General features: G+C 32.3%; 1 protein-coding gene across 7 annotated transcripts in view; it reads right to left on the bottom strand.

Moving 5' to 3' along the window:
- ANKRD30B (ankyrin repeat domain 30B) overlaps positions 1 to 17,707 on the bottom strand; it is a 192,964-nt gene that overhangs the window by 88,049 nt on the left and 87,208 nt on the right. For 5 of the 7 annotated variants that reach the window (XR_007066151.1, XR_007066152.1, XR_935057.3 and 2 more), the window contains exons 35-42: positions 15,798 to 15,876; positions 15,411 to 15,472; positions 12,409 to 12,499; positions 10,162 to 10,190; positions 9,991 to 10,063; positions 4,158 to 4,371; positions 2,705 to 2,873; positions 667 to 1,578 (exon numbers count right to left, since the gene is read on the bottom strand). Coding sequence is in view for 3 of the 7 variants with exons in the window: in NM_001367607.2 (NP_001354536.1) it covers positions 667 to 1,578; positions 2,705 to 2,873; positions 4,158 to 4,371; positions 9,991 to 10,063; positions 10,162 to 10,190; positions 12,409 to 12,499; positions 15,411 to 15,472; positions 15,798 to 15,876 (1,629 nt within the window). In the remaining 4 variants the exon portion in view is untranslated. Of the gene's footprint in view, positions 1 to 666; positions 1,579 to 2,704; positions 2,874 to 4,157; positions 4,376 to 9,990; positions 10,064 to 10,161; positions 10,191 to 12,408; positions 12,500 to 15,410; positions 15,473 to 15,797; positions 15,877 to 17,707 lie in introns of those variants that run through there. The other 2 variants (XM_011525664.3, XM_011525665.3) reach the window with 2 other exon arrangements.

The following is a 17,707-nucleotide window of genomic DNA, read 5'->3' as shown; positions in this document are numbered from 1 at the left end:
TTGATATTGCTAAAATCCACTACATTTGTCCTAAGGTATTATTTAACAAAACACAGATGCCTTTAAAAAATTGAGAGGTTTTAACAATACATAATTTCAGATTCAAATATGTTCAGATTAAGTCAAATTGACATAAATGAAAATAAAATTCTACCAAATAAAATATATAAAAAGCTACTTAAAAAGTGTTATTACAAGATGCAGAAATGTACACTTCAAAATATACTTCAAATACACTTCTGTTCCTCTGGAAAATTTAGAATTAACTGTCAATGTAAATTGCTGAACTGAATCTTAATTTCAAAATACTAATTGCTGATATGGGCATTCCCATTTTTCTGCTTCATTGTAGTCAAAAAATGTGGCCACAAAGAGACATTAAAACCTTTATTTCAGCAGTATAAGCCAATGTCATTAATGTTAATCTATTAAAAATCTTTAACTTAAACTCTTATAATTTCATCAGTGACACAATACCTTTACTCAAAGTAAAACGTCTCTTAGCTTTCACTTTCATTTGGTGGAAATGAGGCATGTTTCTAAGCTGATATAGTAAGTACATTTATCATCTATTTATATATATATATATTCAACTAGATTCAGCATTTAGCCAAGGCCACTTTCTTTCAGGAAGTTTGAAAAGTATTTATATTTTTTGATACTTACTTCTCTTTCTGCTTTCTCTTTTTCATATTGATCTATACGTTCTTTTAAATGGTTACCATAATTGAATACCTCCTCATTTTTCTCGTTTAGATGACGTTGCATTTTCATCTCAGGAAACTGAATATTAATTGTTACCTTGCTTTTGTTAACTTTCTTATGTGCATAAACTAATTGCTGTCGAAGCCACCTATTTTTGCTTTCTAGTTGAAATAATTTCTGCTCCAGAGACTCCTGCTGTTCAGTGTGTTTGTCCACATTATCTTGTTCATTTTGATACATGTGTTCAGCTTTCTTCATTTGACACTGTGTTTCACATCGGTCTCTTTGTGCATGTTCTGAAACCAATGCATTTTCTCTTAGATCATCTCCTGCATAATTGAGATTAATTTTTGGGCTTTTGGATTTCCTTTGAGCTTCATAAAGTGGTTGATGGAGCACCTCATTGTTATATATTGTATTACTCACATCAACATTCATTATTCCTTGCAAAGGAGCATCTCCTGCACTGTGGAAAGCAAGTTCTTGGTTTTTTCTTGATGTGACACTTTGATCATGGTCTTGTAAAGCAGAAGCCAGTCTAGGATGGTGTGATTCAATTTCTGTCTCCAGTATTTCTTTGTCTTGTTTTTCCTTCAATTTAGAAGTCAGCATCGTGTTCTCTGCCGTCAGAACTTTAAGCTGCTCTCTATACTGAGATGCCCTTTTTGTTACTGTTTTCTGTTTCAGTTTTAGGGTCATTTGAAGTTCAGCATTCTTTTCTTGTAAAATCTTAATGTCCTCAAAGTATTTATTTTCCTTCACCTGGTGTTGATGTTTCAGTGTGGCTACTTCCAGTTTTAGCATGGCAATTTCCTTTTTCAACATGCAATTTTCATGAAAGAGATCATTTTCACTTTCATGAGTGTGAGAAACCTAAATAAAACAAAATAAAAATTTAACTAGCACTCAATAAAATGGCATATCATAGTTCCTCTGAAATTAAAGAACAACTTGTACGTTTATACAATGAAAGGGTTTTTATAAGTAGGTATCAGTTGAAGAACCATTGAATCAAAACTTCAAATACTATAGAGCATAAATTCCCCAAAGTTCAAACATTTATTTGGAGACAACGAATTCATGAAAGTAAAAGAGAAACGACTAGAGAATTTTTAAGAGCCTCAGAATTGAAAAAAAAAAAAAACTTTCCCTGAATTACAACAAGCTCAAAAGCATAAAATAAAAGATTAATCAATTTGACTACATACAAAAATTGGGTTTACACTCTGATGTCTAACCTATACAACATCCCATACTAAGAGCCTTAGTGCTACATATATTTAGACAGATAAAATTTCTGGAAGCTCTTTCAGTTCCTTTTTCCTGAGAATATTCTCTAGATATTCTGTGTTTCTAAAAAATATAGTTAATTGTAAGAATTATATTTATGAATGTTTGATAAGTTGAGACATTGTAACAAGCACTTTTAGTTATCACAATTCTGAAAGGAAAAGATTAAAAATATAATCAAGTTGTAGGATTTTCTCCAAGTCTTCTGAGTCTACATCCAGGACTTCTCCACCAAATCTCAGTTAATTCTACTGGGTAAATACGTAAATATAAAAGAAGTCTTCTATTTCAAAACAAAAGTGGTAAAGAAGATAAAATCTAGAGAGCCCTACTTAGAAAACCATGAGCTTATTTACTACGACACTAACTTTTGCTTCCTCTTGATAATGTTTGAGTCAGTATTAAATGTTAACTAGGAAAAATACACTAATCTATGTTGCTAGGAATAAAATACTTACCAATAAATTATCACTAAGTATATGGTAGGGATTATCATTATTTTCAAAAGCTCTTTGTACTGAAATAAGATACTATTTGCATGCCATAATTTATAATAAATACCTGTAGCTACAAAAGTCATAGTTAATTTTAAGACAATACTTTTCTTTGATTTAGACCTGAATAACACATACTAAATCAAAGGGATGTTAAAAGTAATACTGATGAAATAAAGTCAGAAATATAAAATTTTTGCCAGAGATTGATTTACCTGATTCAAATTACTTGTTACACTTTTCAATTCTATATCTTGTATTCTGAGAGTCTGTTCAAGTTGTTGTTTCACTTCTAACTTTTTCCTAAGTTGCTCTTCGGGTCTAATTTTTTCTTTTAATATATCGACATTTCTTCTCTTCTCTTCTTCTTGATTTAAAGTCAATCTGCCATTAAACATACTTATCTTAAAATTCATTTTGTTAGAAAATAGAATTCACTTTGAGATCTACTTCTTCCTATACTGGTTTATTATTCCAATAAAATTCCTATATTCCTGAATTTTTTTTTTCTTTCTAGTTCTCTGGTATTCATTACTCCGTAACCTCTTCCAAATGACATACATACTTGAAAAATAGTGAGAAAAAACTTCTTCTAGTTAGAAAGTTTCTGTTACTAGTAACTTTGACAACTGTTATGGAAAAGAATATTGGAAGCTATCTAGTAAATTTATAAGTTGAAAATTATTTTTTAAAAATATCACACAGTCAAAATTAGTCCTCAGTGAGGACAGATCATTTAGAGTTAACTGATTAAAGTGACATTACTTTTTATAAAAAAAGTTTACAGATTTATTAGACATAAATATTTCTACTTATAAAATATGGCAAATATCCCTAAAAATAATTTGAATATTATGATCTCAGACTAGATTAAAGAGTCTAATATGTGTCATCCCATATGCCTTTTGTTTCTTTTTTGAGTAAGAGTTAAACATATCTTGTTGAGTATTATATATTTTTCAACAAATTTTAAATCTCCTTTAGAACAAGAAAAAGTATAAATATTTAATTAAAGACTAAAAATAATATGTATTTTTAACCTAGAACTCTGAATTAATTTTATTTATGTAGGAGAGCGAGAGATGTTGAATAAACTAATCATAAATTATATTTTCTTTATATTCCATGCACATTAAGATTAAAAGTGTATAGTTAAAGGAAATTGATTCTTGGAGAGAGAAGAATGGCCGTTTCACACTGTCTTTGTTGAACTGTAAATGAATATAAATTTTCTTGAGAACAATTTAGAAGTAATGAACAAAGAACTTTTTAAAAATTCCTATAATTTAACTAAATATTTCTATATTGAAGAATTTATTCCAAGTCAATAATTAGAAAGGTAGAAAAAGATTTACATGCAGTTATGTCTTGTAGCATTTATAATACAAAAAATTAAAAATCAAAAAAATTAATTTGCTAAGTAATGGTATTTCCAAATAATGGCCTTCTATATAGCCATTAAAATTGTGATTTAAATAAATATGCATTAATTATCAGTGGAAGTATTCACATTTAAGAACTTTTATTATTTAAAAGAATTTGACACTCTACAAGACAGATTTTTTTCTCCAGTTAAATCTCAGAAGGTAAGTCAGCTTTTACAAAAAGTATCCTACATACTTTTAGTATAAATAGTTGAAATATTTATTTAAAACTAGGATGTCATACCTCACACTGCAGAGCTCTTGTTCCCATTTAGCTTTTTGGTTCTCTAACTGTGATTTTATTTCTTTCGCTTCTGACAGTTCCTTTTGTAGTACACAAAACTTATTTTTCGTTTGTTCCATTTTTGCTGTAATTTGTTCACAGTTATCTTTTTTAAGTTCCCTTCCTCTTTCACAAGAAGGAAGTGCATCCAAGATTTTTGATAGGGTAGTTGAATCTGTCTCAAGGAGGAGATAGAAATAAAATATATTAGTACTTTTGGGATATAAAGGGCTGCATATTTTAACAATCACTAACTCATACACTCAACAAATATATATTGATTGCCTACCATGTGGAAGGCATTATACTAAGCTCTGCAGATTAAACAGAAAAAAAAAAACTCTGCTCTTGTTTAGCTTAAAATATACTGAAAAGCAAAGCCCCAGAAAAGTTACAATTATAAATTCAGATAGATACTGTAAGAAAATAGATTGCTAAGAATAGGATCTGTACTAGGCCCACGGAAAATTCCCCCGAGGAATGTATGGCTACACTGAGGAACAAAGATTGAAAAGGAAGCAGTTGAGCAAGGGGGGAAGAAAAGCATTTTAGCCAGTGTGTGGCATGTGCTGAAGCTCTAGTGTAGTCTGCCTCCAGCCAAGAGAGAACAACAGGTATTGATTTTTCTTCTTAGCTAAAATAACTAAAAATAAAACACACAAAATACACTAAACAATTTTTTAGACAGTGGACATTAGGCAAAGAAGATGATAGTCCCTGAAAAACAGAAAAAAAAAGTGGAAAGCAAACCTTATGAATGTTTCAGCTTCTTGCCTTGACAGAAATTCCAAGACCTGACACAGGAAACAAAAACTGAGGTGGAACCTACCAGACTCTCTTGGTTACAGTGATAAATCTTAGAGTCTGGTAAAACCAAAGGAGACAGACAATATAGAACAGAACACTGAAGAGGAGACAGAGATACAGAAGCAAAAGCAAGAAACCCCTGGAAATTGCCTCCCAGTATTTAGCAAAATAATGAAGATTGCATGTAAGCCAGAAAACTACCTAAGACCAAGCCAGGTCAGGGCGGAACTTATAAAATTAGAGAAAATCACACCTGGTGCTCACATAGTGCCAAGAAGAGTGTCTATTTTTATAGATTTGCCTGGGAAGACTCAGACTTCACAGGAAAATGAATAGTCTGAAAGGCCTTGCCTCAGGTGTGGGGAGTCAGCTCATAAAAAGCAAAAATGAAAAGGATCAAGCTGTTTATAAGTAACTCAACTCTATTCTACAATAAAAATCAAGAAGATAAGTAAAGCAATAGAAGATACTTTTAAAAACTAAATTGCACTTCTAGAGATACAAGTTACAATGCTGCAGATGAAAGCTACACTGAGTAGATATGAGCATAGATTGATTTGCCATCATCTATGCAAGAAAAGATTCACAAATTTGAGATACTAGAGAACTATGAGCAAACTCCCAGCAGGTAATATGTAAGTCCACAAAGAGGTAGAAGGAGAGACAGAAAAAACATCTGAAGAAAAATTGGCTAAATATATTCTAAACTTAACAAATGCTACAATCCCACAGATCCAGGCTGGTATCTGGCTGGAAGTGAAGAAATGAAAATATATGATTGGAATTTCTTATACCATCTATGATATGATATAATATTACTTGAAGGTGAGTTGTGATGAGGTAAATCCATACACTATAAATCCTAAAACAACCACTAAGACAGCAAAGCAAAGAGTTATACCTAATAGCCAAATAAACTTATACCACAAAAAGATATGACTAAATCATGAAGAAATATACAACCAGATCAATAACTAAAAAACATTATACATATATATATATATATATATATATATATATATATATATATATAAAACTAAATCATAAAAATTACTAAACTAGTCTGAAGGAAGCAATAAAAGAACAAAACAGAGCAAAGAAGATCTGGGACTAACAGAAATCAAACAGCATGGTGACAGACAACTTTTATCACATCAATAATTACATTATAAATTAAACTGGTCTAAAAACCTCTGCTCAAAGGCAGATTGTCAGAACGGATATACAAGTGAGATCTACCTGTATAACACCTATAAGAAATAAACTTTAAATATAAAGACAAAAATTGGTTAAAGATGAAACAAGATATACCACACTAACACTTGAAAAAAGAAGGCTGAGGAAGAGTGGTTGTATTAATACCAAAGTACATTTCACAGCAAAAACATTACCAGCAATAAACAAGGTGATTTTATAGTGACAAAGGGTTCACTTAATCAAGAAAACATAACAGTCCTAAATATTTATGTAGATAATAACATAAATGCTTCAAAATACATGATACAAAAATAGATAGAACTGCAAAAGAAATGGACAAATGCCTAAGTATAGTCTAAAATTTCTAAACCCCTTGCTCAAGTGGTAGAATAAGGAGGCAGAAAATCAGCAAGAATATGGTAGACTTAACACCATTCTTCAGAAGTACTCAAGGACTATATTCTAGATTATATCTTAGTAAAAGGATTAAGAAGGATTTAAGTCATACAAAACATGTTACCTGACCCAAAAGCAATCAAATTAAAAATCAATAATAAAAATGTACCTGAAACAACACAACTATTGGAAATTAAGTAACATAACATCCAAATAACCCTGGGTTGGTTCCAAAAATAGTAAAAAGAAAAATTAGAAAGTATTTTGAACTAACTTCAAATGAAAACACAGCACATTAGATATTGTAAAATGCATCTACAACAGCACTTAAATAAAGCTTTTCAGCATTGAATGTCTACATTAGAAGACTCTCAAGTAAATAACTTCGACTTTTACCTGAAGAAGCTAAAAAAAAAAAAAAATAAGAAAGTAAATCCAATGGAAGCAGAGGAAAGGATAAATATTCGTATTGGTTTGAATGTCTTTGTCCTTGCAATTTTCATATGCCAAAATCAAATCACAGAGGTGACGTTATTAGGAGGTAGGAGTTTTTGGATGTAATTAGGTCATGAGGGCCAACCCTTCATAAATGGATTAATGCTCTGACAGAAATAACCCCAGAGAGCCTCTTTACCCTTTCTGCCATGTGAGGGCACAGGGAAAAAGAATGCATCAATGAATCATGAAGTGGTACCTCTTCAGACATCAAATCTGATGATAACTTGATCTTGAACTGTGCAGCTTCCAAAATTGTGAGAATTCAATTTATGTTGTTGATAAGCTCCCAACTATAGATTTTTTAAATACTAGGCAAAGAGAACTAAAACATCAGAGATGGAACTAATAAAACACAAAAATGATGGAAGAGTTGAAAAATACCAAACACTTTGAGAGGATCAATAAAAGCAAAAGTCTATCTAGCCAAACTAGCTCTTGAAAAGAGAAAGCTACAATTACTAACTTTGGAAATGAGTTAATGTGACATTATTTTAGATTCTACAGATACTTAAAAATACAAGGTAATATTATAAAATTTATGTGAATAAACATGACAACTTAGACAAAATGGACAAATTCATTGAAATGTGAAAATTACCCTCTGATCTTTGACAAAACTGGAAAAAAAGCAATGTGAAAAGAATTCCCTATTTAATAAATGATGTTGGGAAAACTGGCTGGCCATATGCAGAAAACTGAAAGTTGACCACTTCCTTACACCTTATACAAAAATTAACTCAAGATGGATTAAAGACTTAAATGTTAGACCTAAAACCATAAAAAGCCTAGAAGAAATCCTAGGCAATACCATTCAGGACATAGGCATGGGCAAATACTTCAGAACTAAAACATCAAAAGCCATGGCAACAGAAGCTAAAATTGACAAATGGGACCTAATTAAACTAAAGAGCTTCAGCACAGCAAAAGAAACTACCATCAGAGTGAACAAAATGAACAGGCAACCTACAGAATGGGAGAAAATTTCTGCAATCTATCCATCTGACAAAGGGCTAAATCCAGAATGTACAAGAACTTAAACAAGTTTTAAAAAAAAATCAAACAACCCCATCAAAAAGTGGGTGAAGGATATGAACAGACACTTCTGAAAAGAAGACATTTATGCAGCCAACAGACACGTGAAAAAAATGCTCATCATCACTGGCCATCAGAGAAATGCAAATCAAAACCACAATGAGATACCATCTCACACCAGTTAGAATGGCGATCATTAAAAAGTCAGGAAACAACAGGTGCTGGAGAGGCTGTGGAGAAATAGGAAAACTTTTACACTGTTGGTGGGAGTGTAAACTCGCTCAACCATTGTGGAAGACAGTGTGGCAATTCTTCAAGGATCTGGAACTAGAAATACCATTTGATCCAGCGATCCCATTACTGGATATATACCCTAAGGATTATAAATCATGCTACTATAAAGACACACGCACACATATGTTTATTGTGGCACTATTTACAATAGCAAAGGCTTGGAACCAACCCAAATGCCCATCAATGATAGACTGGATTAAGAAAATGTGTCATATATGTACCATGAAGTTCATATGTACTATGAAGTCTATACTGCACTGTTTCAGGGAAATAATGTGTTACAACAGCATAGCTTTAATGGTCCATAGGTCACAGTTTTCACTTTTATTAAAGTAGAAGATTGTACATAGTGATACTTGAAATATTTTAGTTTCAGTTTCTAATATATCAAAAATCAGTAGGTAAAAACCAACTTAAATGAAGACTGATATCTCATTTGTTTTTATTTTCATATATTTGTTTTTTGCATAAACAAATTTTAATTAGTTGTGGTGCAGTTATATAATGGAATTCTATAAAGAACCTAATATAAACAAAACCAAAGTTAATTCTACACATTATGGATGGATCTAACAATATAATGCTGATCAAACAAAGAATGTTACAGAAAATTACACAATGTACAATTATTTACATATTAGCAGTTGAAAACAAATTCTACATATTATCTATGACCGTGCACATATGTTGTATAATTTTTAAGCATGCATAGGAATAATATAAAAAACCAGTTTAGACAATTGTTTACCTCTAAACAATGAAAAGACACAAAGCCAAATGCTTCAGAATCACAGTTTTACCAAAATGATCATAAAGAAATGATTACTTCTCCCATTTATTATTATTATTATTTCTGTTTGTTTGTTTGTTTTTGAGACGGAGTCTCGCTCTGTCCCCTAGGCTGGAGTGCAGTGGCGCCATCTCGGCTCACTGCAAGCTCCGCCTCCAGGGTTCACGCCATTCTCCTGCCTCAGCCTCCCGAGTAGCTGGGACTTACTTCTCCCAGTTTTTAAAAATTAAGGGTACCACACACAAACACACATATACATGCACACAGGCACAAACGTGCACACCACACACACACACACACACACACACACACACACACACACAGAAAGTAAGCTAATCAGAACAACAGATTTCCTTAGGATGCTTCAAATGACTACAGTCCCATGAGGTAACCAATGTTAAAACACAATTGGCATGTCAAAATTGAAGCTTTCCCTGCAGTAAAGGGTAGAATTTGAATCAATTTTTGAACAGAAAAAAATATTAGAGTTTAAAAATACACCTTCTTGAATCTTTAAGTCATACAGACATTCCCAATACAAAACATTACAGTATGAGGACGTGAAAGTGGAAACACCTGAAATTAAAGCTACTTTTTAAAAAAACTAATTAAAATTCGTGTTCTTGTAAGTAATCAGTTTTTCAAATGTGGATACCACTATTGACATTATTAACTCAAATATTTCCATAATATTTGAAAAATAAACATTGGGGAGATGAGACTATTAATATGTCAACTATTGAAATATTCATTTTAATATAGTTGAACTGTAAAATTTACCTGCTCTCAATGTTTGTTTATTCTTCCATTCTAAGCCTTTATTTGGAACAGAGTTTTGCATTTCAGTGGCAGGCTAAACGGGTTTGGAAGAAAAATGATTAATAACGAATGTGTACTTCACAAAATACATAGTTAATAAATAATGCAAGATAAAATTATAAAACTCAATACCTCAAAGTGAGAAGGCTTTTCAGGAGACTCTAAAAAGCAAAAGAGATTTATTATCAGTCATAAGTAAATATGACAAAACCAGCCACAAATGAATCCAGTGATAGTATCTAAGTCCTTTTTCTCAGCTTTGAGAATGATTCCTTTAGGTTTAGGGGGTTTTCTTTCGGTATGTTTCTTTAGGACAATCACATGACAGAAATACACTGAAGAAACTAGGAATCTAGGCTTCATCAAACATGCACTTAAGACTTCAAAAGTGAGAATGTGTTGTGCATGCAAAATGTGTTGATATTAATATGTATATGCTGAGTGATGAAAAGAGAAATGATCTTTGATCAGAGGAGCAAATTATGACCCAGAAAAAATAAATGTCAAAGCTGAATATAGAATCCTACGCCATATATTCAGTGAAATACACTGGAATAATTTATATCATTACATTAATCATGTTCTTTAATTTGTCCTACAATTGAGATGGTACACCGTTATGATGAGAGTTCAGCTGAATGCAGAACTGACATCTCATCACTGAACATGTTACAAATTGATCAGCTTGGATATTTACTTAATGGATAATACTAAATAAAATATTCATTGTTTCCCATATCCTTGCAGTGTAATCATATGCCTACATTGCTGTATCCTCTAGTTTATCCTCAGAAATTTTCTTGATTCACTCATGCAAAAAATACTATAAAACTCATTAAAAAATATTGCATAATGAGCTTTCAATATTGATATGTTTATTTGAAAATTTATGGCAACATACTTATCACATATAAATAACATTTTATATTTTTAAATCAGACAATATTTATTTTAAAAAACAATTTTAGAATTCAAGTAATAAATTCTGTAATTTTTTGTTTCTAAAAATTAGTTGGCTTTGTTTATTATGGTAAGTGTCTAATAGATTTTTATAGAACAACAATTTTACCAAAACAATTTGCTTCATTAAAAATAAAGCTAATGCTCTTAGATTCAAATATCTCTCATTTGAATAGCTAATATCAACAAAATATAAACATTTTATGCCTGATAGTAATAGAGAAAACTAATGAGTCACCATGGTTTACTCCAATTCTAGTAATCCTCCCGCTTCCGGTAGTCTCTGGAGTACCCACAATCTAATCTTCTGGAGTGCAAATATTGTAAATGCATCTGAAGTGAATTCACTCAAATTTCCTTTCAGAAACTCCAAAGTTGGCTGGCTATCTTCTTTCTTGCTGCATTTCATGCCTCACAATCCCTCTTCCTTAGCCAAAATAATGTCCACATCTGTGGTCTTGATTCTTCCCATTCAATATCTTTTAAAATCAATTTTCCTAACACTTTCTTTCTCTTTGATTAGGGTAGTATCTGACATCTGTAATTACTATTTCTTTACCTCTTTTTTCCCCTCTGGTCAGAAACATACTCAGAAATAAAAGCAATATAATGCTTTCTCTTGACCCTGTTATGTCTTGAACTTCTATCCAACTGCCCTTCTTCCAGATTTTTCCAAAGGAAAGGCTGTTCCCTTGCTACTTAAGAGTGAGGTCCAAGGACAACCAGCAACAGCATCACTTGAGAATTTATTAAAAATGCCAGAATCCCAAGTCTGCTGAGTCACAGCGTGCATTGTTAACAAGGTATTCAGCTGATTTTCTAAAGTGTGAAAACTTCTCGTCTATACTGAGTGTATATGACAAATTATATACACGCACAGCTGTGAAAATATGCTTATATTCACATACTGCAGATAAAACACAACTCTCCATGGTCAGGTGCTTCCATCCCTAATGCCTTCCCACCAGTGAGAAAGACAAGACTGTCAACATGTTTGCTGTAATTCTCTGCCAAATTTTGGTAATGGGAGGTCACTTTATATTCTTCCCAGCTTTCTAACCATGCTCTATCTTTCTCTAAAGAGTTCTTTTATTTTACCATTCTCCATTATGTAAACCTGCTTCTTGTTCCCTCATGTACTCCCTGTACTCTCTGTCTTCCTCAGTCTTCATTCCCTGTTTTACTCCTTTCCTCAGGTCTTAGAGTATGTTGAATTTAAACTAATAATTCAGCTCTTTTTTGGCACTCTCAATATAATCTGTTGCCAACATCTGAGAAGACACATAACTTTCACTGCCTTTGTTCTTCCATGTTATGCATTTAAAAAATAATTTTCTCTGGCTGTCAGAGTATATCAGTCCTCATGCTTTGAGACAAACATTTGGACAAAAGATGTTTTAAATAAAAAATGGTTCTTACCTTCTATTTTGCCATTTGTTGTCTTTATTTCTTTTTGATATGTAGCCTCAGGTAAACACTCATAATTCTGTGTATCACTCACAGAGATAATCTGTTAAAGATAATATTAATAAATAATTTCTTTTTTTACTATTTTTTAATTTTGTTTTTCTGAGATGAAGCCTCGCAGGGTTGCCCAGTGGCATGATCTTGGCTCATTGCAACCTCTGGCTCCAAAGACCAAGTAATTATCCTGCCTCAGTGTCCCGAGTAGCTGGGACTACAGGCATGAGCTACCACACCTGGCTAAATTTTTGTATTTTTAATAGAGACAGGGTTTCACCATGTTGGCTAGGCTGGTCTCAAACTCCTGACTTCAAGTGATCTGCCCACCTCGCCCTCCGAAAATATTGGGATTACAGGTGTGAGCCACCACAGCCTGCCTCAATAAATAATTTCAATTTAAAAATAATAATGACAAGCATCACATTTTTTATTAAAAATCTTTTTTAAAACACATTTTTTAACTTTAAAGGCAATTAGATTTAAGGCTGTTCACATATTGAAAACCAAAACATTTCAAGAGAAAACCTCAAATATGCTCTGTAGATCAAGCTTATCTTTTATTTTCATGTGGCTATTGACTAGGTTACTGAGCAAGGAAAATAAATCATACTCACAAAAAAATTCACTCGTGCATATTTTAAAAGGAATTTACTTCAAAGTATCTGCCTTACACTGTAGTCCTCACCAAAAACAATAGGACATTTCAAACAAAATACAATATGATTAAACATTTGACATATGCATAATTATAGTTTTTTTGGTTAAAAACTATGCATGGCATGAAGAGAATTTTCAGAGTATGTCGTGCGAAGTAGGAACAGAACTCTGTTAAAAGCTGTTTCATTTAGGAAAACAAGGGCTTAAAATAATGAAAATAATTTTACATCTTTTTTGCTGATACAGAACTGCTTGAATAAAAGGAAAGATTCATAAGGAAAATTTATATTTATGTAATTTTTAAATGAAAGCAAACAATCATTAGATAAAGTATGCAATTCGTTCTTAAGGCATAACTTCAGAAAAGTAGAGCAAGCCTTCATATAAAGAGAAAAATAAAAACATGTATTCGTGAAACATCTAACATATGCCAGACACATATTTGCAGACTTTTCTTCACCTTAGAAAAATGAGGATGACGATGACATTGGTGGTTACCCCACTTTCTGCATGCTAGTCATTCGAGGTTGTTAAGAACAAAATGATGAACAAATATGGTCCACTGCCCTCTCTGTTCAGAATGTCTTCCTCCTAGACTTTCATATGGCTTACTCCTCATCTTTGAGATGGGAGATTAAATGGCAGTTGCAGAAAGATCTACTCTGACCATGGAATTCCACTGCCACTCCCATACGCGTGCTAATTATAAAGTTCTTCAATTTTCTCTTAAGGAACATTCTCTGTTTTGTTTTAAAGAAAAAGTTACAGTAATTTATAAGTGTTTTTCATTTGTTATTCTCTTCCTACTACTGCAGCATAATCTTTCATCTTGGATATTCAGAGACTCACTGCCTAGCACACAGTTGGTACTCAAAAAGAAATTACTCCAGGTCAAAACATTGAAAATCTCATCAGGAAAGTCTCACTTTCCAAACTGCTATATATGGAAAATCTGCAGTAGTAGCCTGCTGAAAGTTACCATCCCCTTACCCAAAATTAGAAATCCACATGCCTGTTCTTACTCCCCATTCTTGTGCTAACAATACTGCTTTCACATATATGCCACTTTAATCATTTTGTCTTACATTTGTATACAGACTTTCCAGTTTAAAAAATGTTTTCACATTTGTTACAACATTATTTCATCACATGCAACTAAGAGGTAGATATGAGCGCTATTTTTATAAACAAAGTTACTGGTATTTGATTAGATTAAACGATTTTTTTCCAAGTTCCCATAGCTAGTAAGTGACAGAACCAAATACAGACTTATCTTTTGACATCCACTCATTGCTGTTACCACTATGCAGCTGCTGCTTCTACCTAACTGGTGAGGCCTTTGCTATCTCTTCCACATCCACAGTTGTGACCTTGGAATACATCATTATTATTTGATACCTATGTGGCTGCAAACATGGCAGCCATAAATGGACTCAAAGAGTTCTATTTGTGAAAAAAAAATGTCCACTTATTAAAATACTACTCAACCAAATTGTTGTTATTATAGTTTTACAGGTGTCCTATTTCTCATGTTTATCCAACTCCTGAAATGTTCCTTCAGATCTATACTGGATAATCAAAATATGCCAATACTTTCAGAGTCCCAGGAATTATCTTTTCAAGTTCCAAGTTGAGTAAGACTAAGACTACAGTTTAAACTCTTTCTCCTCGAATCCAGTTAGAGCTTTTGTACATCTAGATATACACAGAATCATACAGTTGCTCATAAATGAATGTGGAGAAATCATTTAGTTTTTAGACAAACTTAACTTCAGAACTCAAGTAGATTCCTAATGCCTTCTAAGCCTTATTTTGTTTTGCACTATTCTACACTGGCTTCAAAATTAATCCTGCAAATTAGCAGAATTGCACTATGCAGATGTTATCTACTTGGCACATGATTATAAAGTATGTTCTGATAAATGTCAGAAAATAATTTCTTTTTTTTTGGTTTGTTTTTTGAGATGGAGTCTCGCTCTGTTGCCCATGCTGGAATGCAGTGGCATGATCTGGGCTCCCTGCAAGCTCCACCTTCTGGGTTCACGCCATTCTCCTGCCTCAGTCTCCCAAATAGCTGGGACTACAGGTGCCCGCCACCATGCCCAGCTAAATTTTTTGTATTTTTAGTAGAGACGAGATTTCACCATGTTAGCCAGGATGGTCTCGATCTCCTGACCTCGTGATCCACCCGCCTTATGGACATAATCAGAGGTGAGAGAATAAAGTCAAATCATCTTTTTATGTTTTAAGATTACTGAGTACTTAAGTTTTAAAATAACAACAACAACAATACACAGTACCTCAGAATCTGAAGTTGATTTTGTATCTTCTTTTCTTCCTAATTCTGATGTGGGCATCTTATCTACAAAATGTTATTCACAGACATGTATATGAGAATGTTTATTACTGTAAATCATAAAACTATATACAAATCTATTTCCATTTATGAGTATTTCAAAAATAAAAATAATAGCAAAAATAGAATTTCAGAATTGAAGCAGGTTCAGAAAAAAAAGAGTTGATAGTATGAAGAAAGATATCAAAATGTACTTTTTTAAGTAGACATTGTATTTTGGGCTAAAAAATTGTTTTCTATATAACAGCATTTAAACATAGAAAAATTTTCAGAGATATTCACTAATTTACCATTTCTATTATTTTGGTATAAAAAATAAAATTGTCATTACTTGTTTGATCTTGTGGAGCTCGTTCAATAATGCCAATATCACGTTCCTGTTGTCCAGTTACTGTCTTTGTTGCTCCCTCCTATTACAAACAAAACACAGAAAGCAAACACAAAAAAAAAACTTCAGAAAAAAATTGTATTTATTCACTCACTCAATCAATTTGTCAGAAAGACAAACAACAACAACAACAAAAAACATACTTTGTATCTGTCAAATCATAGGCACTATCCTGGGAGAAGCAGAAAATATACATGGAAGATAGATTCTGGCTTATGTTCAAGAAATGGTAGAGATATGTGAAAACAAATAAGAACAGAAAAGTAAAATTCACCAGTTCTACAATTTAAGTCAATAAAATACATAAGGGCACAAAGGAGAGAAAAATCAGTTTTACCTGAAAAGCTTAGAAAATGCTGCCATAATGGGGCCATATTGGGAAGGACAGACAACGTGCAGAGTCAGGATACAAAGACTCTAGGTGCAATAGCATGTGCAAAATAATAAGGCATGAAACAACATGGCCACTGAGGGATGCCAGAGTGATGTGGTAAAACTGGAACACAGTCAGAGCAAATGAGTTAAAGAGATAAAATGAGACCAAACCATATAAGATATATATCACCCTAGAATGTGAACTTACCCCTTCATGTAATGGGTATCCACTCAATATGCAGATGAGTTACATCATTACAAGTATATTTTAGAAAGGTGACTTTTCCAGTGATGTAAAGATGAACATGGGGAGATGGGGCAAAACTAGAAAGGAGTACTTCAAAATTATAGGTAGAGAGTTAATTATGGTAATAAGATATGGAAAATTATAAGAAGGCAGAAAATACAAAATTAGGTGTGTGACTGGATGGGTGACATGGAGAAGGGTTGAAGTGCAGGATGTAGGGGACGGTTGAAGTGCCGGTTGAAGTGCTTGAGCATTTCATGGCTACTTCCTAGTTGTTATTTACTAGGATGGGGAAACCAGATGACAGAGTAGATTACAAAGAGTCAGAAAAGAGTCAGAAAAAAATAAAAATGATGTTTTCAGTTTGAGACCTATAAGATTTGAGGCATCTATGGGGCTTAGAAGAAAGATCTAGATAAATACATTTGGAGTATGAGTAGATGACCTACATGAGGAAAATTACATAGTGATTAGAAAATAAATATTTATAAGATAGACTAAATGGGTAGAATTAAGCAACACAAATCTATGCAGACTGCTGAAATTTTGAAAATGAAATCAAAGGAGAGAGAAAAACATGGGATTAAGTTTCTCAGTTATATATTTCCAAATTTATTTCAAGAATATAATTTTATTTATATAGGTAAATATTTATTTCTGAAATATTTTTTGCAATATGCATCTTTGAATTGAATGAAAACATTTAATTCTAAAACAAGATTCTGCAAAATGACCTTTATAAAAACCTTGAAATTTTTAATTGTACAAGAGAAATGCTTACCCATAGAATTATAAGGCATTTTTAAGTACTACTATAAAGTGAGATAGAAATGTGAAACTCTGTTTTAAAATTCACATGCTTTTCTTATGAAACAATATAATACTAGCTCAAATTGCCTATTTACACCATATAGGATGGTAGTTTAAAATTGGAGAAAAGATTTCATATAAAGAAAATTAAGCAACAATTATTCAAGTTGATGATTTAATAGTTTTTACATATATCTATGATTGTCAAGCAGAATTCAGTATTCATAGGAGAAGTGAAGAAAGAAACTAAAAAGTTCAAGTCAACAAGATTCCTGAGTTTTAGAAATAAACAAATATATGTGCAAGGTGTAATAGTTATGAAGACTAAAGTTAATAAGGCTTCCTGGAAATAATATAAAATATCCCCATTGCAAGAGATACTTTTAAGTGTAAAAAGTATTCTTCCAATGATAAGTTTGTT

Source organism: Homo sapiens, chromosome 18 (genome assembly GCF_000001405.40).
Source record: "Homo sapiens chromosome 18, GRCh38.p14 Primary Assembly".
NCBI classification, from domain to species: domain Eukaryota; kingdom Metazoa; phylum Chordata; class Mammalia; order Primates; family Hominidae; genus Homo; species Homo sapiens.
The sequence above is the reverse complement of the archived record's forward strand: the minus strand, read 5'-3'. Positions and strand labels throughout refer to the sequence as shown.